This window comes from Homo sapiens, chromosome 14 (assembly GCF_000001405.40).
Source record: "Homo sapiens chromosome 14, GRCh38.p14 Primary Assembly".
In the NCBI taxonomy this organism is placed as follows: domain Eukaryota; kingdom Metazoa; phylum Chordata; class Mammalia; order Primates; family Hominidae; genus Homo; species Homo sapiens.
In genome coordinates this window covers 67,525,966-67,553,744 of record NC_000014.9, presented here as the reverse complement: position 1 = coordinate 67,553,744, position 27,779 = coordinate 67,525,966, and the positions used below count along the sequence as shown (strand labels likewise).

At 45.9% G+C, this 27,779-nt stretch overlaps 3 protein-coding genes across 10 annotated transcripts in view, besides 2 other annotated features; 1 reads left to right on the top strand and 2 right to left on the bottom strand.

Moving 5' to 3' along the window:
* Positions 1-20,455, bottom strand: part of PLEKHH1 (pleckstrin homology, MyTH4 and FERM domain containing H1) — a 56,323-nt gene extending 35,868 nt beyond the window's left edge. For all 7 annotated transcript variants that reach the window (XM_011537009.2, XM_017021500.2, NM_020715.3 and 4 more), the window contains exons 1-2: positions 20,347-20,455; positions 11,752-11,911 (exon numbers count right to left, since the gene is read on the bottom strand). In XM_011537009.2, the coding sequence (XP_011535311.1) occupies positions 11,752-11,877 (126 nt within the window). In that variant the 5' untranslated portion in view covers positions 11,878-11,911; positions 20,347-20,455. The remainder of the gene's footprint in view (positions 1-11,751; positions 11,912-20,346) is intronic.
* GPHN (gephyrin) overlaps positions 1-27,779 on the bottom strand; it is a 1,227,209-nt gene that overhangs the window by 181,611 nt on the left and 1,017,819 nt on the right. The gene's annotated exons all lie outside the window — the stretch shown is intronic.
* Positions 11,470-11,529: an enhancer, noted in NCBI's record as "active region_8581". NCBI's record gives its function as "activates an Ori minimal core promoter by ATAC-STARR-seq in GM12878 lymphoblastoid cells {active_cell/tissue: GM12878}" and the evidence as "EXISTENCE:reporter gene assay evidence [ECO:0000049][PMID:35858748]".
* TMEM229B (transmembrane protein 229B) overlaps positions 19,895-27,779 on the top strand; it is a 63,582-nt gene continuing 55,697 nt past the window's right edge. Inside the window, exon 1 of one of the 2 annotated variants that reach the window (NM_001348546.2) lies at positions 19,895-19,983. The gene's annotated coding sequence lies outside the window, so the exon portion shown is untranslated. Of the gene's footprint in view, positions 19,984-20,035; positions 20,110-27,779 lie in introns of those variants that run through there. The other variant, NM_001348547.2, reaches the window with a different exon arrangement.
* Positions 20,362-20,831: a silencer, noted in NCBI's record as "silent region_5858". NCBI's record gives its function as "represses an Ori minimal core promoter by ATAC-STARR-seq in GM12878 lymphoblastoid cells {active_cell/tissue: GM12878}" and the evidence as "EXISTENCE:reporter gene assay evidence [ECO:0000049][PMID:35858748]".

Here is a 27,779-nt window from a genome sequence, read left to right as displayed (position 1 = left end):
ACGGGGCAGATAACAGCACAGCATAAATCAATATTATGTTTATAGGGGTGGTTGCCCAGTGCAAAAGGAATTCTCCTTGGTGGTGGGGGGTTGGTTGATACATAGTGGTGGCCCCCAGTGTTGGTACTGCATAACCCTTCCCTCTTTGACACCAGACCTAACTGGACCAGCCAGATTCTCTCTCTCCAGGAATCTGGAATCAAGAGATCAGAGGCTGGAGCCAGGGAGGTGCCCTGGAGAAGGTGCACAAACCTCACCAAGTCATGATTGCTGGATAGTTCCTTCAGTTCTGTGAGCTGCCCCAGGATCCTTCTAATAAATCCCCTTTGCTTAAGCCAGACAGAGTTGGGTTTTGGGGTTTTTTTTTTACCCACACAGAAATAATCTAATGAATGCAATGATGAGGAGCATTTTCTTTTTCAAGAATAAAATGAAATACTGAACGGGAAGGCCCTGGTCCCTCAATAAGTTTCCTAGGTTGCACTTCAGCAGGACTACTGAGACCTAACTAATCTGCTCTGTAGCTCAGAAGAAGGCATAGGCTTTCCATTAGAAATGATAATTCATATTTGTGACATTCTGAAACGATTGGCTGATATTTTCTGACTTCATCTGATGGAAAAACTTGTCTTGCTCTTTTGCAAATGGAGACCAAGGTGGAGTAAAGGATAAACTTGGGTCTTACCTCTCATGGAGGCATTTCCATTTGGGTCAAGAGTGATAAGTCAATGACATTGGTCAGAACCAGAAATCGCTCTGTTATTGACAACACAGCGAGCATTTTTTCCCCTCCGGATTTTATTATCTATCCCATGCACATGCTATTACTGAAGTAGATTGAATGGCAAGGCACTTTTCAGAGCCTGGGGTCTCCCCTGGGGTATCCTCCCAGCCCTGGGTCACCCTCTGTCACTGCCAGGTGGTCCTCATTACTGCCGACCCTCCCAGTCCTTCTTTTTGTTTTTGTTTTTTTTTTTTGAGACAGAGTCTTGCTCTGTCGCCCAGGCTGGAGTGCAGTGGTGCGATCTCGGCTCACTGCAAGCTCCGCCTCCCGGGTTCCCGCCATTCTCCTGCCTTAGCCTCCCGAGTAGCTGGGACTACAGGCACCCGCCACCACGCCCAGCTAATTTTTTATATTTTTAGAAGAGACGGGGTTTCACCGTGTTAGCCAAGATGGTCTCGATCTCCTGACCTCGTGATCCGCCCACCTCGGCCTCCCAAAGGGCTGGAATTACAGGCGTGAGCCACCGCACCCAGCCAGTCCTTCTTATCCACCCTGCAAGGACACTTGACACTCAAAGCATTTCATATTCACTTTTATGTTGCAGTATTCTTTTTTCTCTAAAACTAATGTCTGAACACTTTAGCCCCAGCATCAACACTTTTCACGAGGGCAGATCTTTCTTCTTCACCTTTGCTTAAAGGCCACACCTGGAGCTCTGCAAAGCTGGTGCTATAGAACCCTTATTTGGCTGTTCCAGGGTCCTCTAGGACCATGTCCTCAGCTGTCCTTTCAGTGTGTGGGTCTGGGGTAACACGCCAGCCAAGGAGGTGTCAGGTTTAGGTGGCTGACAGGGATCTACTTTCACCAGCTGCACATAAGACACATAAGCTGCCCTAGAACTGGCTGCAGCAACCTGATGAAGTGCACTTGGCACCAATCTGGTATTTAACCCCCAAGTGTACAGCTCCTTGTCACACGCTGTGAGATGCTGTGAAATACCAGCCCACAGTGGCAGGAGCACCTGGGACTCTCCTGTACTCCCAGCACAGTCCTGCTGTGCCGAGCAGTGGCCTGAGCCAAGAGCCACACCATCCCGGGTCTCAATGATCCCTTTGAGAAAAGGGTTCAACATTCTTTTTTTTTTTTAGACAGAATCTCACTGTGTCGCCCAGGCTGGAGTGGCCAATCCCAGCTCACTGTAACCTCCGCCTCCCAGGTTCAAGCGATTCTCGATCTCCCAAGTATCTGTGATTACAAACGTGCACCACCACGCCTGGCTAATTTTGGTATTTTTAGTAGAGATGGGGTTTCTCCATGCTGGTCAGGCTGGTCTCAAACTCCTGGCCTCATGTGATTCGCCTGCCTCGGCCTCCCTAAGTCCTGGGATTACAGGCGTGAAAGGTTCAACATTATTACCGCTGCCTTGCACCCACGGGAGAGAATGGCACAGCTAAGAGGTAAGGCAGTGGAACCTCACTGACTCCACCACAGTGTGGCTTTAGACAAATTCCTTAACCTCTCTGTGCCTCAGTTTCCTCATCAGTAAAAAATATATATATATAATAATAATGACACCTCCTAGGATCGTTGTGAAGATTCCACAAGCTGCCCCATGTAAAGTACATGTGCATGGCTTGGCATTCAGAAATTTATAGGTAAAAGCTGCTTGTTGGCTTTTGTCCTATACAAAGATGGCACTTAGGAGCAGGGAGACCAGTTTGGCCGGGACAGTGTGATGCTCACCTGTTGTCTCAGCATGACTAGTAATACAGCCTCCTTTCACTTTCTCTCCAGAGTGTCCTGCTTTAGGTGATAGATTATATGATCGGACTACTTAGGATTCACCTACAGAAAGAATGGGTTTAAGCCAGAGGTTGCCCACTATTAATTTAAAGAGTGTCCTATAAGACTCACACTGTGTTGTGGGCATTTAGCTTATATGTATATAGCTAAACAGGACCACTTGGTCTGTGTAGGGCTGTGTGTATATACATGTAGGATATTTAGGCTACACTTATGTAGCTAAACAGGGCCACTGTCATAAGCACTGTACATGCATTAACTCATTTACATTTCTTAACAACCCCAGAAGGCAGGTACTGTTAGTATCTCTATTGTGTGGATCAGGAAACTAAAACAGAGAGGTAAGGTAACTTGCCTAAGGTCACACAGTTACTAAGATTCAAAGCCAGAATTCAAACTCAAGTAGACTGGCTCCAGAGTACATTCTGTCAGCCACTATACTACACTGCCTCTCACATCCAAATCTCACATGTCACATAAAAATCCAGATTCCATATACATCTTGTTTCCATCTTCTCTTAAAAAATCAAAAGATCTGGCCACACTAGCATTATATTTTCTATTTTCTATAGCAGTAAGTGGCTTTAGCCCTTCCCCTCACGTTTTCCTAGAACCTCTCACTCTCTTCATTGTCTCATCTATGTAAATTAACTGCAAACATTTGAGTTTGCAACCCCCAGTTTTAGCCATTAAATTGTTCTAACTCTTGTTATCAAAGACAATTGTTTTGGCTGGGCGCGGTGGTGCACGCCTGTAATCCAAACACTTTGGGAGGCCGAGGCGGATGGATCACTTGAGCTCAGGACTTGGAGACCAGCCTGGACAACATGTTGAAACCTTGTCTCTACTAAAAATACAAAAATCAGCCAGGCATGTTGGTGTGCAACTGTGGTCCCACCTACTTAGGAGGCTAAGGTGGGAGGATTGCTTGAGCCTCGGGGGCAGAGGTAGCAGTGAGCTGAGATGGTGCCACTGCACTCCAGCTTGGGCAACAGAGTGAGACTTTGCCTCAAAAAATAAAAAATATAAAGACAATGGTTTTCAATTTTTTTTTTTTTTAGCAACAGATCTTTTGTTCAATTAAAATCATATGCTTATTTCCAAATACATAAAATACACAAATACGGAGCTGGGAAGAGAAAGGGCTCCAAGTCTTGTCTGTGGGCTCCACTGTACCCCACAACCCCAGAACCTCTCTGGGCCACATGGGGCTCCAGGGATCCACTAGAAAGACAGGTGAATGGGGCCCGGGGTAAGGCCATGGCAGAGGTTAGTTGCAGGAGAGACTTTCAAGGGCGTAAGAATCACATGTGGGCTTTGTCATCATGCAGATTCTTGGGCTCTGCCCACAGAGCTTTTCTTTAGCAAGTCAGAGACATAGCTCCAGAAAGTGCTTATAAAGAAAGCGCTTGTGGATGAAGGTGGTGGTCCACAGACCACACTGTAAGAAACAGTAGCCTGGCCACAGAATGCAAAACAAAGCTGACTCCTTCAGGGATGCAGCCTGGAGCCGTAGCCCCATCAGCACCCCTTCTCAAATGGTTCACGAGCACTACAGAACTCATCCATACATGGTTCCTGAGAAATACTATGGTGAGCAGGAGGGCAGCCTTATAATAAAAATAGAGGGTTAGAAAAGCAATTTAAGGCCGGGAGCAGTGGCTCACACCTGTAATCCCAGCACTTTGGGAGGCCGAGGCAGGCGGATCACTTGAGGTCTGGAGTTCAAGACCAGCCTGGCCAACATGGTGAAACCCCGTCGCTACTAAAAATACAAAAATTAGCTGGGCGTGGTGGCATGTGCCTGTAATCCCAGCTACTCGGGAGGCTGAGGCAGGAGAATCTCTTGAACCTGGGAGGCGGAGGTTGCAGTGAGCTGAGATCACACCATTGCACTCCAGCCTAGGTGACAAAGTGAGACTCTGTCTCAAAAAAAAAAAAAAATTAAAAATCTCTTTTACACACACACACACGCACACACACCCCACAGAATAAAAGCCCTAGAAGGCATCTTCTCCCAAAACAAATCAGATCTGTGAGCACAAAGACCTGCTAAGACCCATTCCATGATGATTTTATGCAAACTTCAACATACTTCCAACTCATCCTTGTATTCTCCTTTTATGGTACCTGGCCTTGTCACAAAGTATGAGATATTTTAGGATATGTTTTTCTGGGCTACCCATATGTTGTGAAACTGGCACTTAAGCTGAACTGCTGCCTCTGTATAATCCATATGAGGTGGAAGGAGCAACATCCATTGTTCTCTTGCTTAAGGGGAGTAAACAGAACCATTTATCCACTCAGAAAAATTTCTGAACTACAAATTTTTGGTAGGTAGATCAAAAACTGAGTTATACTCCAAAACCTTGGCTGGTGAAACTGGCAAGCGATTGTGACAGAGCGAAAGTACACATGGTTGCACTGGAACTGGACTTGGTAAACGCTGCTTCAGTTAGAAGTTTTTAAGCTACAAAAAGAATAATGTTTTGTCACATTATTTCTTCTCTCTTTTTTTTTGAGACAGAGTTTTGCTCTTGTCGCCCGAGCTGGAGTGCAATGGCACAATCTTGGCTCACCGCAACCTCTGCCTCCCGGTTTCAAGTGATTCTCCTGCCTCAGCCTCCAGAGTAGCTGGGATTACAGGCATGCACCACCATGCCTGGCTAATTTTGTATTTTTAGTAGAGACGGGGTTTCTCCATGTTGGTCAGGCTGGTCTCAAACTCCCGACCTCAGGTGATCTGCCCGCCTTGGCCTCCCAAAGTGCTGGGATTACAGGTGTAAGCCACCACTCCTGGCCTATTTCTTCTTTTATTAATACCCTCAAAGCCCTTTTGGCATAAAGAAGCAGATAGGGAGTAAAGAAAAACCTTGTATTAGTTCTAATATTGATGCCATGTAGTCATAATGATAATTCCTACAAAGCTCTTTTGTGGATAGATACTATGCTCCCACTTTTCTGATAGGATAACTGAGAAACAGGTTTAGCAAGAATGAAAAAGTCCAAGGAAGAATCACATTTTAATATCCATTTATGTGGCCTCTCAGAACAGTATCAATTTTTAAATTGGTCTGAATAGCCTTTGTGGCTTCTCTAGCAGGCCAAGAAAGACAGCTAGGGAAAATGATGTGAGCAAAGCAGGGCGAGATGTGAATCTCAAGTCATCAGCCACTCCCTCAGCCTCCTCTACTGGAAGAAAAGGGAACCCATGGCTAACCTGGCTCCAGAATGGGGTGGCCCAGGCAGGCTGGGTGACCATGGCAATAGCACACCAGACCCAGAGGTGTAACAGCAAAGGCACAGTCTCAACTCTCCTCTCCCTTCATCCGGCTCTCTCTCCCTTAGGTGAGGGATTATCTAAGAGCCTTGATGTTTCTGCTTTTTTAAAAAAATTCTTTTTAGCACAGATTATTCCCTGACTAGAATGACAATTTTGTACGAGGGAGTCAGGTGCAAGTAGACTGTGTCAAGGTAGGAAGAAGGGCATTCTTCCAAGCCTCCGCAGCCCACAGGCAGGTCTGATCCTAAGCAGAGATGGTCCCCCAGGGAAGCACCCAGGCTTTGCTCACCCTACAGGATAGCCAGCAGTGAGCAGCCTGCAGTCATCAGCCCATGTAATGTCCCAGGGCCAGCTGGGTAGAGAGGTAGGGGAGCAGATGGGTGGGAGGGCTGGCCAGAGACTCAACTGACATGGCTCCTCCCAGTGCGTGTAGCAACTGGCCATGATTCTTGGCCCCAGCAGGAGCTCTCCTAAGAAACCCAAGGCATCTCTTCCTGCGATCTATAACTTGTCTTGGCTCTGCTAGGGAAAGCATCTCATGAATTGCTGGACCTGTCTTACTGGTTTAGGGATGATTGCAGAGGACAGACACAATCCTGACATTGACCAACATGGTGTTTGTGGCCTTAAGATTTCCTGCCAAGAGGTCCAGTGTCGGACTCAGGTCCCAGCCCTTTTCTTAAGTCTCCCACCCCATGGTCCCTAGTCCAGATCTGTGTCTCTCCCCTCTTTCCTCCCACATGCCCAGTTGTTCCTCCCGTGTCTATGCCTTTCCCCTTTCTTGACTCATCACACTATGCACCCCTAACATTTCCATGTGAAGACATTCTGGTTACATGAGGATCAGAGACAGACTTGAAGACAAGAAGGTGTCAATATTATGAAAGTTCAGTTTACCCAGACTCCAGGGGCTGTAGAGAAAGAAGGTATGGTGTTTATAAGGTGGTTAAGGCTTTCCAGTCACTCTGTTGGCCCCTGAGGAATAGGGTAGACAGGCACACTCTAAAACATTTATTATGAAATACTTTAGGCAAACAGAAACATGTAGAGAAAAAATATATATATATCCTTTGAGACAGGATTTTGCTGTGTCACCCAGGCTGGAGTGTAGTGTGATCACAGCTCACTGCAGCCTCAAAGTCCTTGGCTCAAGCGATCCTCCTACCTTGGCCTCTAAGTCACTGGGACTACAGGCACGCATCACCATGCCTGATGAGAATAATTTTTTAAAAACATGTGTCTGCTGCCTGGGCACGGTGGCTCACGCCTGCAATCCCAGCACTTTGGGAGGCTGAGGCGGGTGGATCACCTAAGGTTGGGAGTTCAAGACCAGCCTGACCAAAATGGAGAAACTCCATCTCTACCAAAAATACAAAATTAGCTGGGCGTGGTGGCGCGCGCCTGTAATCCCAGCTACTCGGGAGGCTAAGGCAGGAGAATCGCTTGAACCCAGGATGGGGAGGTTGCAATGGGCCACTGCACTCCAGCCGGGGCAACAAGAGAGAAACTTTGTCTCAAAAACAAAAACAAAAACAAAAACAAAACAAAAAACACATGTATCTGCCTGTCACTTGTCACTTTGTCTTAAAAAAATCCCAAAAAACCATATATCCACCATTCGGCTTCGTCAACCCTTAATTTTTGTCACATCTGCTTCTGATGTTTGTCTTTAAGAAATGGACCATGACAGATATAGTTGAAGCCCTGCATAATTCTCTCCAATTTTACCCCCTTCCCCCGGCGTTGACCCTACACTTGGTTGTTTTTATATTTTTACCTCATTTGTATATAGTAAAAATACCTGGGTTACATTTTCTTATGGCAATAAGTGGCTTCAACATGTCCCCTCATGTTCTCCCAGAATCCACCTGGCTCTTTTCACTTATCTAGCTTACCTGTAAGCATTTGACTTTGCAACCCCCAGGTTAGCCATTAAATGGTTCTAACTGTTGTAATCTAAGACAGTGTTTTCAACTTTTTTTTTTTTTTAGCAGCAGAGCTTTTGTTCAATTGAAATCAGATGCTTATTCCCAAATATATAAAATCCATGAGCACGGATCTGGGATGAGAAACAACAATTAGTACTGTCTTTGAAGGTTTTTAGAAGTACATAAACTGTATGATGCTGTATATATCCTTCAGATGTTTTTTATTCAATGCTGATTTTTGAGATTTACTGATCTTACAAATGTAGTTCTACTTGATTCATTTTTAATTGCAATGTAGTATTCCACTGTACAAATACACTGAATATGTTTATCCATCTCTCTGTTGATGGACATTTAGAATGTTTCCAAATTTTCATACATCAATGCTGCAATATATGTCACCCTGTGACAGATATATTTGGATTTATTTCTGCCACTTCATTTGTCCTTTCTGTTTACTCCTTTTTTTGATATATTATTTTCTTGTCCCTATCTGTATTTAATAGACTTTCCTTTTTTCATTTCCTCTCTCTACTGATTTGAGGTATGAATACTCTGTTTCTATTTGTTATCCCTCCTATTAGTCTAGACTTAAAGACTGCTGGTTTTTCCCTATTATCTATCCTCTCTTTCTTTCTCATATAAATAGAACCCCCAACTTTTAGCTGAGCGCATAGTTATTCAGAATAAAGACTACATTTCTGTTTGTAGAAATGTACAAACCTTCTTTGTAGCTGGGTATAACCATGTGAATAAGATCTGGCCAGTGGCATATCAGCAGAAGAAAGGTATGAAACCTCCGAGTCACTAACTTAAAGGGAAGGGGCTGGAATGTGACTATCAGATGACCCATCTTCAAATATCCAGAGACCATCACCCTAGAGCTTGATTGCTTATGTCTGGAAGGTTACATGAGAAAGAAAGAAACATCAGCCTGGTTTAAGCCATTGTTATTTGAGGTTCTTTCTTACAGCAGCCAAACAATGATCTAACCAAACTGTGATTTTTAAAAACTTACCCTGGTTAGACTCATTCTGTTTCCTGAATCTGAGGCTTCACATCTTTCATCAAGTTTGGAAATTTTCAGCCACTATCTTTCATGGAATCTTACTTGATAGATACAGGACCTTGTCATTCTAACATCCAGGTCTCAACTGCTGTATTTGTATTTCTGTAGGCAGCATTCTGGATGATTTCCTTAGGTCTGTCTTCCTGTCCATTAAGTCTATCTTCCATGGTGCCTAATCTGATGTTTAATCTATCCATTAATACATTTTAATTTCAATAAAAACACTTTCACTTATTAAAGTTCTATTTAGTTTTCAAGTCTACCTGATCTTTTTAGGTAGTGTCTTGTTCTTGTCTTATGCTTTCATTTTCTTTGTTACGTCTTCAAAACTTTTGAACTCATTTATTTCATAGTCTCTTGCCAACAGTTCCATTATTAGAAGTTGTTGGGGATCTAGTCTAATTGTTTTTTGTGTCTGTGGATACTCACTCATTGTAGATTATTTCCTCAAGTATTTAGTCATTTTTGATTATATATTCCTCTTCATTAAGGCTTTTTTTCTGTGTGGATCCTGTGTGATCTGAATTGAGGTCTTGTGTCTCCAGAGAGGTTTTGTTTCTGTCCCTACCAGGCTCCCCAGGGGTATCACTGGCCCAGAACTTGGGTTTCCTAAACCACACAGGTAGTATAAATCCTAACATTAAACCAGTGTTATCGTCAGGTTCTCAGGGGAGACTCTACTCTTGTTTTTCTACCCAGAGCCTTAACTAAGTCTGAGAAGCTATTGTCATCTCCTGTGCCAGTGAATGATTTTCCTTTCCTTGTCTACCTTGTTATTTAGGGTAAGCCCTTTAATATTCCTGACCATTTTTTATTTTTAAATTTTGTTCATACTGACACTAATCAAAAGAAATAATAGTCCTGACTTGATGCAGAAGTCTGTTTCAGCTCCAACCTCCAGCTGGCCAGTCCTCATTTCTATCCCCACAGATATTAAAACTCTAACTTCAAACCTTACATTACTCTAGGGAGGCCAGTCACACACCACCTGCCCCTCAATCAGCTGTCAGAGTTGAGTACCACTGTGGCTATCCCCTCTTCATTTTGTTACCTGAGGACTTTTCTTACTTTTTTCTGTGCTCAGCTCTGCATTTACATGAATATTTTAAATATTTAACCCAGTATTTCCAGGTGATTCATAGTGGGTTTTTTTTTTGTTATTTTGTTGTCCATATTACTAGAAACAGAAGTCTCTTCCCTCCGAGATATATCTCAGACTGCCTGGCTGAGTCAATCCCTACTTATCCTTTCCTTCCTTTTCGTCCCTCCTCCAACACCATAGCTTAAGTCAGGGTTCTCAAACTTCATAGTGTACAGAATGATTTTCTGGACGCTTGTTAAACATGCAGATTATTAGCAACCCCCCAGGAGACTTCAATTGAGAGGACTGGGGTAGAACCCAGGAATATGCATGCTTAACAAGCACTCTACGTGGTTCTGGCCAAACGGTTCTGACCACACTTTGAGAATCACTGTCTAAGGTCTGCTGCCCTTTCCTGATGTATATTCATTCCTTTCTATCGGCAGTACCTGGCAGTACCCTGCACATCTCTGTTTTGCAAAGTCTGAGTTAGGAGACAACAATGTCAACAGACCCAAGGTTCAAGAGTTCTAGTCCAGACTAGTCCAGGACCACTCCCCTTAGCCATGGTGATGCCACTGATTTGTCCTGCTGGACTCCAGCTATCAATAAAACAGGTCATCCATTTGGGCTTTACTAATTGAGACTTTGACATTCTTTGGAGAGGTGTGAGCTGAATTTTCCCTTTGTACTTATGAAAGAAGGGTTTGCTAAGCAGATGGATACTATAAACAAAACTATACATATAATGATTGATTCACTTAATTTTAAGTGCAGGTCTTCACTCTCTAGATGGGTTATGCTCCAGAATGCCTCTGAAAGTTAGCAGTTTAGAATGTATCTTCCAGCTGAGCGCAGTGGCTCATGTCTGTAATCCCAGCACTTTGAGAGGCTGAGGTGATCACCTGAGGCGAGGATCACCTGAGGTTGGGAGTTCGAGACCAGCCTGACCAACATGGAGAAACCACGTCTCTACTAATAACACAAAATTAGCCGGGCGTGGTGGTGCATGCCTGTAGTCCCAGCTACTCCGGAGGCTGAGGCAGGAGAATCGCTTGAGCCCAGGAGGCGGAGATTGTGGCGAGCTGCGATGGCGCCATTGCACTCCAGCCTGGGCAACAAGAGCGAAACTCCATCTCAATAAATGAATAAATAAAATAAAATAAAATAAAATAAAATAGAATGTTATCTTCCCACAGAAACATTAGGAAAGGTGGTCAGTTTCCCAGACCAGCCCACCCAAACCTGTAAATAAAATAATTATTCCCATTTAAGACCTATTCTATGTCAGGACCTTTACATATGTGATCTGATATAATTCTCAAAATAACTCTTAGAAGTAGACATTTGTGTTTTTTTGCCTTAGAGGTGAAGGGACTTGCCCAGGGTCATCTAGCCAGTAAGTGGCAGAGCCAAGTTAGGTCTGGCTCCAAAGCCTGTGTCCTTGTTACCAGGAAAGCAGAACACCTCCTGTAGCTCATTTATTTAACAAAGGGTGAGAGGAAGGGTAGAGATTTCTGTTTTCTCCCGAAACACCGTCCTTCCCCACACTGAGAAAGAAACGTTAAGGGAATAATAGAACCTCTCCGCTGCAGCCACAGGTGACTCCGGAAGTGATGGGGGACCGAGAAGATTGGCAGCATGTCTTTGGTGTGCCTTAATGAGCGAGCAAAGACGCAAGCAAGATAACAGCTTAGTAAACTGCTCGGACTTTGGTCTTAAACTACCTTGGGTTTCATTTTGCATATGGGGAAAAGCATCTTACTGAAAGTTGACTTTCCGCAACTCTCCCTCTCTCACACGGCCCTCCCTGCCATAAACCTCTGCGTGTGGAGAGGCAGCTCCCTGCTCTGAGGGACTCACCTTGTCAGCCAGCAGCTCCCTTATCTTGCTGGCCTGTAGGCGGAACCGGAAAAGCTGAGTTTCCAGGGTCAGGCAGCGTTTCTGCCAGTCTACGCTGGCCGGCGCCTCCACCTTGAGTTCTGCCATGATGGAATCGACTTCTGGATTATTCTGGGGAGCCCTAAGAACCAGCATGCAGAAAGAGGAAAAGATAAATAAGCGTGTGAGGAAGAGTTCTGTGGGGAAAGAACGGGAGGGGACCAAAGGACAGAGAAAACAGGGCTGGGGAAGAGAAAACAGGGCTGGGGAAGAGAATTGGTCACTGATCCCCAGGGCCCCTCCCTGCCTTCCTCAGCTCAGTGTGTCCCGCTCCATTGTAAGTTAGCTGAGAGCCTCAGGAAACCGCGAAACCTGAGAAACCTTAAGGAGAACCTAGTCTCATTTGGACAGAAGTGAAAAGTAGGGCTCATTTGTTTTTCAATTATCCATTATTCACACAACAAACTTATCCATTAAACAGCTACTTATATGCCTGACCCTGTGCTCTGCACTGGAGATGCAAACAGAACTAAGAGAAATTCCTTGTCTTTGTGTTTTTCAAGGAACTCTTAGGAAAATCTAATTACAATGTAGTCATAGTTGCCAAGTGACTTGCAGATAAATGGGAATGGGAGCTGGGAAAAGTGGGAGGGATGTGTTTAGGGAAGGCTTAAAGTGGGTAACAGATGCATCCAAGGTCACATAGCTAATTAGAGGCAGAACCCCGGTTCCCAGTTTATTTCTTATTCTATTTCATCTATATAAAATGTTAGATGAGAAAAAAATGGAAACAAAATATAATGCTTTGAATGTCTTTGACAATCTTCTATTTAGATGGGATTGTGTCCATTGTTATCATCGAATCATCCATCCCACTTTGGAATAGATTCTCACCATTTCCTTCAGGTTCTAAGATGCAAACCAGAAAACTGCTAGATATTTTGCTGCAACCTCTGGAGAAAGCCACAAGTCTTTGGGAAAAAAATTTGTACAAATTCAGAACAAATCAAGTAGACACCTATAGTATGTCCAGCCAGGGGAATTCACTCAGATGCCTTCTGGACATATTTAGAGAAAAAACACTGGATGCAGGATGAGAAAAGGAAGAAGGATGCATGAGTGTGCATGAGAGAGAGGGATACAGGCAGAGCAAGCAGGAGAGAATGCCTGGGAGACACATCCATCATCAGGATTTTTCAAATCCCCCTTATAGGGCATTATGATGAATGATGCTTCCCAAAAAGTATAAATTTGGTCTGTCCCAAACCATGACACATGGTCACCCTAGTAGTCAACAATTTTAAGGAATAATTGTTAATTTTTTAGGGTGATAATTTTTTTTTTTTTTTTGAGGGAGAGTCTCACTTTGTCAGCCACACTGGAGTACAATGGTGCAATTTTGGCTCACTACAACCTCTGCCTCCTGGCTTCAAGTGATTCTCATGCCTCAGCCTCCTGAGAAGCTGGATTACAGGCGTGCACCATCAAGCCTGGCTAATTTTTTGTATTTTTAGTAGAGATGGAGATTCACTATGTTGGCCAGGCTGGTCTTGAACTCCTGGCCTCAAGTGATCCACCGGCCTCAATCTCTTAAAGTGCTGGGATTACAGGTGTGAGCCACTGTACCCGGCCGATAATATTTTTAAATGTCATCTGTTAAAAATTTTTATGATATACAGGTGAAATAATATAATATCTGGGATTTGTTTTAAAATACTTCAAGGTAAGAGGTAAGTAGGGGAGGAGATATACGAAATAGGATTAGTAAAATGTTGATAATTTTTGAAGCTGGCTGATGGGTATATGGGAGTTCTTTATATGATCTCTCTACTTGAATATATGCCTGGAATTTTCCATAATAAAAATTTGTTGCTTTTCAAAATCCCCTTTTCCTTCCTCAGGAGCCACATGGCCTCAGAAAACCCAGCCACCTCCTGTACTGTTGCCAGATACTACCACAGTGCAAAGTTAGCCTCTCTTTGATGGGCTAATCACCAATCGTGCTTCTCCCCTCGCATGTGACTTTTATTCGTATTTTTCTCCCATCATACACTACAAGTAGCTATTGCTTATTGAGTCTTTATTGTATGCCAGGCATGTGTTGCCTCTTTAAACCTTACAACAACCTGTGAAACAATAGGTAAGCACTGTTGTCCACACACACATGAGGACACTGAGGAACAGAGAAGCTAAGTAATTTACAGATAATTGTACAGCTAGTTAATGGTGGAGCTGGGATTCTGGTCCCAAATTCCTTGTTCATTGCCACTCTGTGCTCTTTACCCATCCAAAAAAAATAAAAAGAATTTCAATTTCACAAAGAGTGTGGTAGACTTGAAAATGGCAGAAATCGTTTCTAGGATCTTTCAGAAGCCTTAGCACAAGGATGAACCTATATCCCAGATTTCCCAAGACATCTTGGGCTCAAATATTCTGACACCATAATCTCCCCAAGCACTGACCTTTACCATGTATCCTGACTTTTCATCTAAAAAATAAGACCTGCAGAGAAAGGCCCAACAATTAAACCACTGATGGACCGAGTAAGCTCGCTTCTTGGTTCCTCAGAACACATGACTTCAGCGCTGCTCTCCCAGCCCTGTCATCTAAACAATCCCTGCATTGTGACCTCCCAGCAATCCCCATCTCAAAAGACTAGGACCAACTGGAACGGGCAGGAAGACAAAAGACAAAAACAAAACATGACCTTCTCTGAGCTAAGATCACAGCTGAAAAGACAAAACAGAACCTTGTAAGGCTCTCAGAGAAGGCCGGGAGGCTTCATGTTTGATTTTTCCTTGTCCTTTACTGGGATTTTGCTTTTCCTTGTATAAATAGGAAAAGTGGCAGATCTGAGACTAGGACCTGGGAGTCTCGCAACTCAGTTCAGGGCTAAGAAATAACAGTAAAAGCATAAAAGCAAGGGGCAAGGGAAATGTAATCCCTTTGTATAGTTGAAAGAGTTTGATTAATATTGATTCCCTCTTACTGATTGTCAAAGCTGCTGCTCAGATTCTATTGGGAGAGTGAAAACCCAAATTATCAAAATCTCCAAGTACTTTGGAAATATGTCACTGGTGTCTGCCTAGCCCTGATATCTGAGATTATACCTAGTTTAGGGAATGCTTTCCCCAATCAAGCATCTCCGTAACATCATGGTTCTGAACTGATCAAGTGGTCTGTTTAATCCTCTCCCTGCCTTGGGGATGGAGAGGATTAACCACCCTCTCCCTGGCAAGTTGCTGAGGAGGTTGGGACTCGTGCTTGGCTTGCCTCAGCATGTGAGGAGAGCAGAGAGGTTTTGAAATAGATCAGGAGCAGGGTGCCTGCTGCCAAACCCAAGGCCCAGAGGCTCTTCTGACAGAAGCAGGTGGTCAGAGCAACAGCTATAAAATAAGGGAGGTTAAAGGAAGATACCAGTAAGCTGAGCCTCACCTGCTAAGTCACCTTGCACTTATACCTCCCATAAAAATGCACAAGGATGAGCAGAAATGAATACCTTACATTTGCAGTAGAGTTTGTAACTTGTCAAAGCATTGCGACGCATGTGTTATTTCTCTCTTTATCCCTGAGATGGAGGACGAACACAATTAGTCACAATGAACAGATGAGAAAACTCATCACATCTGTGACTTGCTTAGAGCCTTGCATAGAGCTAAGGAGTAGCAGAACTGGGCCAAGAATCCTGATCTCCCAATATCTACAATTGTCCTCTTCCCATGATGATGCTTCAGTAGTGGTAGCAGATATCTCATACTAACAGGCTAGTCTAACACAAATACATTAATGGCAAAAAATAAATGGGGAAATGAGAGAGGGGAAGTGAGCTGGAAACAAAACTCAGCTCAATTTTTTTTTCTATTTTTATTCTGGAATGCTCTATCACACATTAGAAATAGGGAGAATAGTACAATAAGTCCCTCTGTCCCCAATACCCCGCTAAAATTACGATCAGCTGTTGGCCAGTCTTATGAAACTCATAGTTTTCTTGATTCTGCTGGCACCCAGCCTGCTAAACTGCTTGGCAGGTGAATCAAAAAACTGCCATAGTCTTGATACCTGCTTTGGCATCCCCTGAATCCTCCAACACCCGGGACTGAAATGCCACAGCAGTCAGTGGGGATATGCCCCAGAGGCAGGGGCTGGGAGTAGGATGGGTGGGAAGGTGGCACAGGAAGTCATTAGGTGACTCCAGACTCAGAGTCTGTATCAGAGAAAACACAAATTTGACCTGGGATCTCTCTGGCAAGTTTGAGGATTTTGAGCAGAAACTGACAAAATGCTAAGATTACTTTTTTTTCTTTTTCTTTTGAGACAGGGTCTCACTCTGTTGCCCAGGCTGGAGTGAGTGGCACAATCATGGTTCACTGAAGCCACAACTTTCCCAAGCTCAGGTGACCCTCCCACCTCAGCCTCCCAAGCAGCTGGGACTACAGGCGTGCACCACTGTGCTTGGCTAATTTTTGTATTTTTTGTAAAGACAAGGTTTCACCATGGTGCCCAGGCTGGTCTCGAACTCCTGGGCTCAAGTGACCCACCTGCCTCATTATTCTAAAGTGTGTTGAGCCACTGCGCCCAGCCTAAGATTAAGTTTTTATTATTATTATTATTATTATTATTATTATTATTTTTGAGATGGAGTCTCGCTCTGTCACCCAGGCTGGAGTACAATGGTGCAATCTCGGCTCTCTGCAACCTCCGCCTCCCGGGTTCAAATAATTCTCCTGCCTCAGCCTCCTGAGTAGCTGGGATTACAGGTGGATGCCACCACACTGGCTAATTTTTGTATTTTTTGTAAAGACAGGGTTTCACCATGGTGCCCAGGCTGGTCTCGAACTCCTGGGCTCAAGTGATCTACCTGCCTCATTCTTCTAAAGTGTGTTGAGCCACTACACCCAGCCTAAGATTAAGTTTTTATTTTATTATTATTATTATTGAGATGGAGTCTCGCTCTGTCACCCAGGCTGGAGTACAATGGTGCAATCTCGGCTCACTGCAACCTCCGCCTCTCAGGTTCAAACAATTTTCCTGCCTCAGCCTCCTGAGTAGCGGGGATTACAGGCGGATGCCACCACACTGGCTAATTTTTGTATTTCTAGTAGAGACAGGGTTTCACCATGTTGGCCAGTCTGGTCAAACTCCTGACCTCAGGTGATCCACCTGCCTTGGCCTCCCAAAGTGCTGGGATTACAGGCGTGAGCCACCACTCCCGACCCCAAGATTAAGTTTAATACAAACAACTTTTAAGTGAGTCCTGTGTGCAAGATTGGGGATATAAAGATGAATAAAGATATTGTGGCTTTTGAGGCTCAAGTCTACAGCCTGAATATCCTGGTAGCTCCCTACAAAGGTAGCTAATCAATACAGGACCCTAAAAGAAAGAGGTCAGAGGTCACCACAGGCCTCAAAATAGCTCATTGCCTCTATCTTGTGGAGGATGCAGGAGGCATTGGAAGGCAACGGGGCTTCTGTTATATGCACAGTTTCCACTGGGCTCTCTCATATTGCCTCAGTATGGTTCATTCCCTGAGTGTGAGTATCTGTATGACTTCCACTTGCTAGTGAGGGGCTACCACCATCTTCTAAAAGTGCTCTGCCAGACGTGGCTGACTACTTGTCAATTGTGGGAGAGAAACAGCTTTGTGTCCCGTTTCTGGGGATGAGGCTGGGAGAAGGGTGTGAGTGTACACAGGGACAACTTCCTCTGATCTCAGCACTGTCATCTGATCAAGCTAACAACATCCATTTGGCCACTGCTGGGTGCCTACATGACATTCCACACAATGTCCGGGGAGACAGAGAAGGTGAGCATGTCCTAGGCCGCAGGAACCTCAATACCAAAAGAAGTGGTCAGGACAACCAGGTACAACATTCCTTGAGAACAAAAACAGCAAAGAGAAACAGCTTAGTACCTAAGATCCCATGCTCTGGCACTGACAGGCCTGGGTTTGAATACGAGCTCAGGCACTAAATAATCCTGTGGCCTTAAGCCATTTGCTTAACTTCTTTGAGACTCAGTTCCATTCTGAAATTGAGGGCAGTAATATTTGAAAATCAGGACAATAATATTTGGTTGAACCATATGAAACCGTCATTTAACCATTTTCCAACCTTCAAAATGGCCATTTCATATATCACATCATGCAGGGCTTTTTGAGAATTAAAGGAGATATTACAAAAGCCTGGTGCACACTAAGTACTCAATAAATGACTGTTATTGTTGTAATCAGCAAACAAAGGCAAACCAATAGCATCTAGAACATAAAAGGAGATGTGGCCCAAAGATGTGCTCACGAGGCTGGGCACGGTGGCTCAAGCCTGTAATCCCAGCACTTTGGGAGGTGGAGGCAGGCGGCTTACCTGAGGTCAGGAGTTCAACCAGACTGGCCAACATGGTGAAACCCTGTCTCTACTAAAAATACAAAAATTAGCCAGGTGTGGTGGCGCATGCCTGTTAATCCCAGCCACTTGGGAGGCTAAGGCAGGTGAACTGCTTGAACCCTGGAGGCGGAGGTTGTAGTGAGCTGAGATTGCACCACTGCACTCCAGCCTGGGCAACAGAGCGAGACTCTGGCTCAAAAAAAAAAAAAAAAAAAAAAAAAAAAGATGTGCTCACTACCAGATCTAACTCTGGAGATCTGGAGAGGAGGTCATATGATTTTTAAAGTTATTTTAGAACATTGAACAAAAGGGTATATAGTGCAAAGTAAGGCTTCTTCCCATGCCTGTACTTCAGCCATAGTTCTCCCCAGCGGCAACCACTGTTACAGGTTTCTGTGTGTTCTCTCAGAGATATTCAGAGCATCTACAGGCATTCATATGTATGTGGCATTCACACACCCACCCAAAAATCGTGGCCCACCATACACACTGTACTCAACAATATAACTTAGAGATATTCCTACATCAAAGTATATATCTGCCACATTTTCTCTGCACGCTTTATAACAGCTTTAATGTATCCTATCGTGTGGCTTTTACATGATCTTATTGAAGGGTTCCTTATTGATGGACATCTAGATTGTTTCCAACCTTTTGCTAAACAATGCTGCAATGAATATTCAATGATGTACACCATTTCATATACATCAGAGTATATCTGAAGGATAAAGTCCCAGAAAATGGAATTTAGGGGTAAATGATGTACACTTTAAATTGCCAGACATTTCTTTGGATTTTTTTTTTTCTATCAGGAATGGGAGGAACATGCTCTCCCCTACAGCTGGTGACTTCTGAAGAGGGCAGAAGAGGCTCCACATTTTTTCAGCTTAGTTGTTAGTTTCAATGAGTTTGGGGCCACAGGCTGCACCCCACAATTGCCCAACTCTGAGCAGGCCCCCTCAGCAGTCTATGGGAAGGTGGTAGAAGTGGACTGAACCATACGTTAGGAATTTAGGAGGCTTGGGTTTCAGTTATGGCTCTTCCACTTTTTAGCTATGTGACCATGGGCATATCACAACAATTTTTTTTTTAACAGACAGGATCATCAGCCTCCCAAGTTAGCTGGGACTACAGGCCCACACCACCACACCCAGCTAATTTTTAAATTTTTATTTATTTGTAGACACAGGGTCTCCCTATGTTGCCCAGGCTGGTCTTGAACTCCTGGCATCAAGCTCTCCTCCTGCCTTGGCTTCCCAAAGTGCTGGGATTACAGGCATAAGCCACTGCAACTGGCCTAAATCACAACTTTTCAGAGTCCCAGCTTCCTCCTTTGGAAAAATGGGGCCAATAATATGCAGAAACACTAATACCGATGTTCTATAAAGCGTTCAGTGATGGTACTAGCCCTATACACAGTGTCTGTCACATAGAAGACAGTCCAAACAGTTTGATGAAGGAACTGATAATTCTCCCACTGAATTTTTTAAATGGTCTTTCAAGTGTTTTACCTGAACCAAGGCTCTGTCTTGGAAGAGTTTTATGAGGTGGATTCATAGTAAAAGCTATGGAGGAGATATCCTGGCAAGCAGAAATCCCACAAGGAGAGGAGTTTCCTTCCAGATGAGGCTCTTCACCGCCTCTGCCACCCCCACTAAGGCCCCTGGTTCCTGGTGACCGAGTCCTCGCTAAGACTCCTAGGACACAATGCTCTGTGTCATTCGGCGCCCAACCTGTTTTCTTTTCTGCTTGAATGACCTGCTCCTAGGAGTCGAGCCTGAGCCATAGGGTCCCAAAGACAACACTCAGAAATCACAGAAGAAATAACCTGAGGTGAGATGGGGAGGGGTGCGGGAAGGGGTGAAAGGGAGCGAGCACCGATAGCAAGGTGGCAGCCTGCACGTCCGCTCCGAGGGCCCTTCCCAGGAGCGGCTGGATCTGACCGATCCCCAAGTCCAGGTACTCCCGGGGGAGGCTCCTCCTGGCCTCGCGGCGCGAGTCCCCTGGGGCGCCCGGCTTCCCAAGCCAGACCCGCGCTCCAGCGCTCCCCGCCGCTGGGAGCTCGCTTCCAGGTAGGGAGGCACCTGCTCCGGATCGTCCTCTGGGCCCGAGGGGCCGTCCCCCGCGCGCAGCCTGACGCCCTCCGCCGCGGCGCAGCCCCAGCCCACCACAGCGGCGGGAGCGCGGGTCGCTCACCTCCAGCGAGCTCGCGGCCGTCCCCGCCGCGCACTGGGCACACGGGCGCCCTCGGGCCGCCGCCGCAGCCGACCTTGCGTCGCTCTCGCCGGAGTCCCGGGCTGCCGCCGGTTCTCCCCTCCCCGGCAGCAGGGGTCGTGGGCTGCGGGGCGGGGCGAGGCTGGAGCGGGAGGGGTGCCCGCGGGCTCGCTGCACAAAGCCCGGCCGAGCCTTGCTGCGCCCCATTCAACGCTCCGCCGGGCGCCCTCCTCCCCTCGGCTCCCCGCCCGCTCCTTAAAGGCAGAGCGCTGGGCTCAGCTCTCCAGGCAGCTCGCGGAGAGGCACAGGAAATGACCTCAGCAGGCTCCAGCCTCCCACTTCTCCGCACCGCTGGGCTCGTCCCTGGGGCGGCAGGGAGGGCGGCGGGGTGTCCCGGGCGCCGGCCCGGAGCTCTCCGAGGAGGCCGCACCAGCTGCCGCAAGGGGTGGCCAGAGCGCCCCGGGGATCTGCTTGACCCCAAATAGCGGGGGACCCTCGCGGGCTGCGGGACAAGACCAGACCGTCTCCGCCAAAGGTTCCAGCATTCTCCTGGCCACCTGTGGGAACTGTAACGTCTGGATATTTGGAACAGAAGTCCATATTTCAGTCTGGCAGACCAAATGTTCTGAGTTGCAATTTGCAGGAGAAAAAGAAAAAATAAGTTACGACAGCCCAGAGAGTAACTTACTTGCTTATTTTCTGGTCTCGCTATGTTGCCCAGGCTGGACTCGAACTCCGGAGCTCAAGTGATCTTCCCGCCTGGGCCTCCAGGCCGGCTTATGTATATGTTATTTTAAAGGAGGGCCCAGGAGGACCCTGGCTGCCAGGCAGTTTGCAGGGCAGTCATCAGCGTGCCCATGTGCTCCTCGTTCTCAGACATTTGCAGATCTCAGATCGCCCAAAGCAATCTCATACCCAGAGGGGTTGGAAAACTCAACATTTGGCTAGGTGAGCCTGGAGTAAAGAAGATGCAAATAGAGACCATTGCAGGGAGGGATCCACACTTCAAAACAGAGCCTTCTTCCTCAACCCTGCAGGCTCTCTGTCAGTGAAGGACTGAACAGAAGCAAAATACCATCAGCGCCTGTTTCTCCAAATGGTCCTTGGAAGACTCATCCCAGGCACCATGAAGAACACCCCCACCCTGGGTTTGAATCTGAATCTCTAACTAAAGTACCCCAGGCCATTCTCACGTAGAAGTTTTGAGAGCCCAGACACTAAGGAAAGCTGGTAGTGCAGGAGGCCAAACGTGAGAATTTAACTGGGCCAATGGGACTTCAATGGCTGAACTTGCAAACAGCTTTATAGCTCGTGGGGATTGGGATAGATTAGCCCCATTTTGTGGGACAATGCTCAGGCTATCCACTTCAACATTCCAGAAGTTGCATAAGGAAGCCCAAAAACACGTTCTCTGGATTTTGCTAAGAAGACATTAATTCATTCATTCACTTTTTTTTTTTTTTTTTTTTTGGACATAGGTTCTTCTTGTTCTGTTCTCCAGGCTGGATTGCAGTGGCACAATCATAGCTCACTGTAACTTGAACTCCTGGGCTCAAGCAATCCTCCCATCTCAGCCTCATGAACAGCTGGGACTATAGGCACATGCTACTATACCCAGCAAAAAAAAAAAAAAAAATTTTTTTTTTTTTTTAGTAGAGGTGGGGTCTCAAACTCCTGGACTCAAGAAATCCTCCTGCCTCGGCCTCCCAAAGTGCTGGGATTACAGGGATGAGCCACCGCACCTCGGCCCAGAACTCATTTAATATAACTTTGTTATATAGTGAAAAGAGACGCACCATGGAGAGTGGAATGGGAGGAGCATGCTCTCCCCTATAGCTGGTTACTTCTGTAGAGGGCAGAAGAGACTCCACATTTTTTTCAGCTCAGTTGTTACTTTCAATGAGTTTGGGGCCATAGAGTGCATCTCACCATTGCCCAACTCTGAGCAGGACCCCTTGGCAGTCTGTGGGAGGGTGGTAGAGGTGGACTGAACCCTACATTAGGAATTTAGGAGGCTTGAGTTTCAGTTATGTCTCTTCCACTTTTTAGCTATGTGACTTGGGCAAGTTACAACTTTTGTTGTTGTTGTTGTTTTCTTTTAAGAGATAAGATCTTGCTCTGTTGCCTAAGCTAGAATGCAGTGGCAATCATAGCTCATTGCAGCCCAGAACTCCTAGGCTCAAGCAGTCCTTCTGCCTCAGCCTCCCAGGTAGCTGGGACTATAATACCCACCATCACCCCTAGAGCCCCTTTCTTTGGATATTAGCTTATTATTACAAGTGACCTGACAAAGGAGAATGGAGGATGGAACAGAGAGATGGGAAGAAAAGCCATCATGTGCCTGAGTTGAAGGATATGCTAGGGCATTCTTGTGAAAGAAGATGAGGCCGGGATGGGGACTTGTCAACTGGTCTGAGCCAATTTAGTCCTTCAATGATTGTATTAGCTGCCATGGGACGTGAGAGGTGAGAGGAGGCCATTCGTCTTCTTTTCTGTAATCTCCTGCAGGTGGGATATTAAAAATAGTTAAGGCCAAATTCTGCCAAATATACATGTATTGGCAAGCTGGCACAAAACAGTCACACAGCCTGCTTCAAGAAAATGGGGCAGTTGGCCTGCTCTGGCTCTCACACTCCATTCATGCAAGGGCAAATAATCTTCCTGGCCAACTCCATGTTTTGAAAACTGCTTATTTCACCAATAAAAGATTATTTCTAGCATCCCTCAAGCACATTAAGCCCTTGGGTGTATATTTTGATGTTGTTTGAAGTGCTTATGTAACCATTTTCTGGAGTGCGGATTCCTGATTAGGGCACTTCAGATGCTAACTAACCACTCTAGGAGTTACAGGAGAGTCACTTTATATACACACACTACATGGTTTAGGCTGGAATGTTTAAAAAATAAATTCCTACAGAGTCAATATTACAGCATCTTAGTCTGGGCCTTGTTCCTTGGACAGCACTATGGGAGGGAAAGGGGAACTTGGAACTGGCCAGAGCTCAGTTTAAGCTTTATCACTTAAGTGGTGGTGGGACCTTGGGGCAGTTGCTTAAGGTTTCTGAATTAATTCCATGTTTGTAAAATAATGATGATAATAATTCTGGCCTCTTAGGGTTGTTGAAATGATTAAATGAGATAGTATGTTGTCTGGCATGCAGCAAGTGATCTATAAATGGAAGCTTTTGTTATTTATTCTTTGAACAAATATTGGCTGGAGTTTACGAGAGATCTTGTAAATCTCTGTTTACAAGATTGCAATGGATAAGCAGATGGCTTGAGAGACAGGAATAACTCTAGGAGAGCTGGTGAAATGGTTGACAATTCATCTTCCCTTGTACGAGCCTTCTAGAAACCCTGCTTCCCATCCCTACCTGCTTTCTCTGAGCTCCAAAGAGACCCTCTCCTATATCACCAAAAAAGCCTCAAATCAAGGGATCCCCTCCTCCTGCCTTCAGGACCTGGTTCTCAGTTACTGTTGGAAGGGGAAGAGAGGGGAGAAGAAGGAGAAGGGAGTTTCAGACTCCCAGGAAACTTGGGGCCAGTCCTAGTCCAGGCTTCTGCTCTCTGCCTTGGGTCACAAAGAAGTCAGGAGGTTACTTCTACTGCTGAATCTTTGGGAGCAATTTGGCTCTTCGGTGATTGTCAGGATTAGCCACCATGGGACATGAGAGGTGAGGTAACCATGGGTTAGAGCAGAGTGTCAAGAGTCACCATCTAAGTGGGGCTAGGAAGGCAGTGATTGGACATGCAGAGAAGGGCCAGTTAGGAAGGAAAGGAAATGGCCCAGTGGCTAAATCCTCAGTGTGTGTGTGAGCGTGTATATGTGTGCATGTGAGATGGGTATGGAAAGATGGGAGGAAGTGTCCTAACTTTAAGTATGGACTCTTCTTTCATTTATTCATTCAGTTACTCACTAACAAATATCTATTGAATACTTGCTATTTTCCAGCCACTGTGCTAGGAAGGAAAGTGTGGCAAGTGTGACCTATCAACTCTGGGCACAGGCTTTAGAACTAGACATGCCTGTCCTTGAATCCTGGCTCTTCCACCCAGGGGACACAGGGTGGAAGTAATGCAGTTACCACATACATTCACTGCAAATAATCTGTTCAGTATACCTGTGGGTATGGGAGCCAGAGAGAGCCAGGCAGCGGATGGGGAGGGGAGGGAAGGTGTTCCTCGTTTGTAAATCAGGAATCAGAATTCCTTCCTTAGAGAGTTATTATAAAGATGGAGATAAAGGGCCTGCCTCAGTGCCTGGCATATTATTGGAATCTAGTAAATATTATGAAATGAGGAGGGAACTTGAAGGTGTAGAGGTGTAAAGGACTAGCAAGGCGCCCAAAGACTAGGGAGCTGGAAAGTACCCAGGAGGAGCAGCATGGAAGGAGGGCCTGGTGGAGAAGGATTCCAATGAGGAGGTGGGCAGTGATTCCAAATCTAACCTCATGTCTTAAAATGCTGATCTGAAAATACAGATTCCAGGCCACCTCTAGCTATTCAGATCAGTGGGCCCAGGAGTCTGCATTGTCACGCACCTGTCTGGGGTCTGTATTGACTGGTATGCCCTTGAGTGATTTTTCTCAGAGAGCAACTGCCAGGGCGGAACTGATGTAATTACAACACATATCAATGCAAAATGCTCTGTCCGCTGCAGCTGCGGGTTATACGGGCAAGAGAGAGCCAGGTGAATGGGGGCTTAATGGGATAGGGACAGGAGAGGGAGGGAGAAAGAGCACCTGAGTTGGGAGCTGGTGGAGCTCAGGGAATGAGGATCAGGTAAATCCAGCCATCTGACTGCAATTCTAGATCATTTTAGAGTTTGCAACATCCTAGTTTTAAAGCAGCTGTCTTATTTCTCCAACAGCTTTCATCAAAGATGAGAACAATGGCTGCTCACATCAATTGGGGGAGGGAGGAACTGGGCAGGGACCAGCTTTAAGTAGGTGGCAGGTTCTCCAACAGCCCAGGGAGCCTGTGTGGGGAGAGACTAGGGCTCCAAGAAGCCAAGGAAACCCAGGCCTGTCAGAGAGCTGCCAGTGACCCTTTACTTTTCTGGGACACATGTGTGGCCGCTGTAGACAATGGGTTTTCATGCTGACAGTGGGGTTCAACTTCCAGAGTTCAAATTCCAGCTTTGGCACCTAGCTCAGTTCTTGGCACTCAGTAAGTACTCAGTAGATGCTGGTTGTTATTATTATCTCCTCAGCAGAAGACAGACCCAAGCCAAGAGAAAGGAAAGTCTCCCAGCCCTACCTCACCCTCACACTCCAATCTATCTGAGTCCCCACCAGCCCATCTCAGAGCTGAACTACGAGAGGTCCTGTGTTCATACATTCATCATGTGCTTGCCGAGTGTCCACAGTGGGCCACTGTAGGAGAGGGAGAGCGTGGAGGAGTAGGTGGCTCAGTACAGGGCAACTGGACTTTGGAGGGCCTCTTCATGCTCCTTGACCTCCCCTCCTCAAAGCCACTACTTTCGCTGACAGGAAGAGGCCAGAGGTCTGGGGTGGGGTCCTACATGCAGAGCTGTGAGTGAGTTCTTGCTCAGCCACTACTTTGCTCCGCAATCTGAGGACATCTCAGCAACTCTTTGTGCCTCACCTAACTGTAAAATAGAAGCAGGACCTTCGTGGCTGCCATCCTCAGCCTGGAGATAAGGAATTAATGGACACTTCACCAGGGTCATGCTGGGGAATGAGGGGCTGCTGCGGTACAAAACACATTGTTGGTTTATCTGAGAATTGCTGAATGGGAATAGAAGCAACTTCACCAAAACACACCGGGGACACAGCCAGCCATTGCAGGGCACTGCAAACAAATGAAATCTTTCTTTCTAATCTCCTAATTAAAAATCGAAACATTTAAAGCCATATTTATTGAGGGCTGACTTTGTTCCTGACCCACTAAACATTTTAGGAGGAATCATCTTTTTTTTTGAGATGGAGTTTCACTCTTGTTGCCCAGGCTGGAGTGCAATGGTGCGATATCGGCTCACTGCAACCTCCGGCTCCCGAGCTGAAACAGAGGAATCATCTTAATTCTCACAATTCTCTGGAGCTGAAGCCATTTTTATCTCCATTTTATAGATGCATAGACTGAGGCTCACGAAGACCAAGTGTCATGGCTAAGCTCAGATAGCAAGCAAGTGGCCAAGCCAGGACACAAACCCTGCCCTGCCTGACTCTAAAGACCACGCCTTTAGCCACTCAGGTCTTGCCTCTGCTCAGGGATGTGTGGGTTCCCTTGCGGGGCACCTTCCAGGCTGAAAGGTTGCAATGAGTGAGCCACAAGTACCCTGGGATTCACAGAAAAGGAAATAAGTGAAACACATGGATAGAATGAGCTGACCAAGCCATTGCAGCTCCCTCTGCCCTGCCCCTAGTGGCTTGGCCTGAACCAATAGGTCTATTATCTCCCTTGATGGTCAGGACTTCTCCTTGTTGTGCTCAGGGTTTTCGATGGTGTGTCAGGGCTCATACCCTACTGGAAGCTCTCTTTGCCCTCCCCTCTTTGTAAAAGGGGGTGAGTTCTGATGACAAACCTGCCCTCAGTATGGAAGCCCTGGACATGACTGCCAGCACATTGGAGACTATCTCTCAGCACCATCTAGTGGCCAGGATGGCTTGTTTGTTTTCTTCAAGGACCCTGAGCCCCAGCATTCTGGCTCCCAGTCAGGTGTAGGGCCAGATCCATTCCCTTCTGATCTGACACTGCATGCTTTGGTCACCTCTAAATGTGGTGATTAATGGGGATTTAAGCTGTGCTTAAAGTGGAGACTTTAAACTATGCATATTTTTATCCTGTTCAATTTTGCGTCGTTTCAGGGAAGGGGGCTAGAACACTGAGATGTATAAAAGACTAGGAAAAGATGGAAAGAATATTCTCCCCTTTCTTAGTTCCATGCATCTGGCACCAAGCAATGCATACCTTTTCCTACTGTGCAAAGCACAAGACCAAAAGCAGCATGCAAAGACCGTCAGCTTGGCACTCATTCCAAGCAGGCATCTTACCTACCCATGTTACACGGGCAGGGGACAGGAAGAGATGCCGCTGCACAAAGTCCAAGCTGCAAGTCAAGGATCCTTTTTGCTCTGCTACAGATAAAGTGATGGGATACAGAGCTGGCACTAGACCGACTCCCAATTGTATTAGGAGCTTTGCTTATGTAGAAGTGAGCTCTGGGGTTTTCAGAGTGGTGATATGGAGAGTGCGCATTTCCAGAAAGGAATTCTGCATTTATAGGTTCTGGATTTCCTAGTCCAGGTCCGGAAGAGGAACTACTAAAGTGGACCCACACAAAGGAATCAGGTAGAGCTGACAGACAGGTCTCATATATAAGGTTGGTGATGGAGCAGAGCAGGCAGATTCCTAGGATGGAAAGCCAGTAGGCATTGCTCTGGGGCTGACAC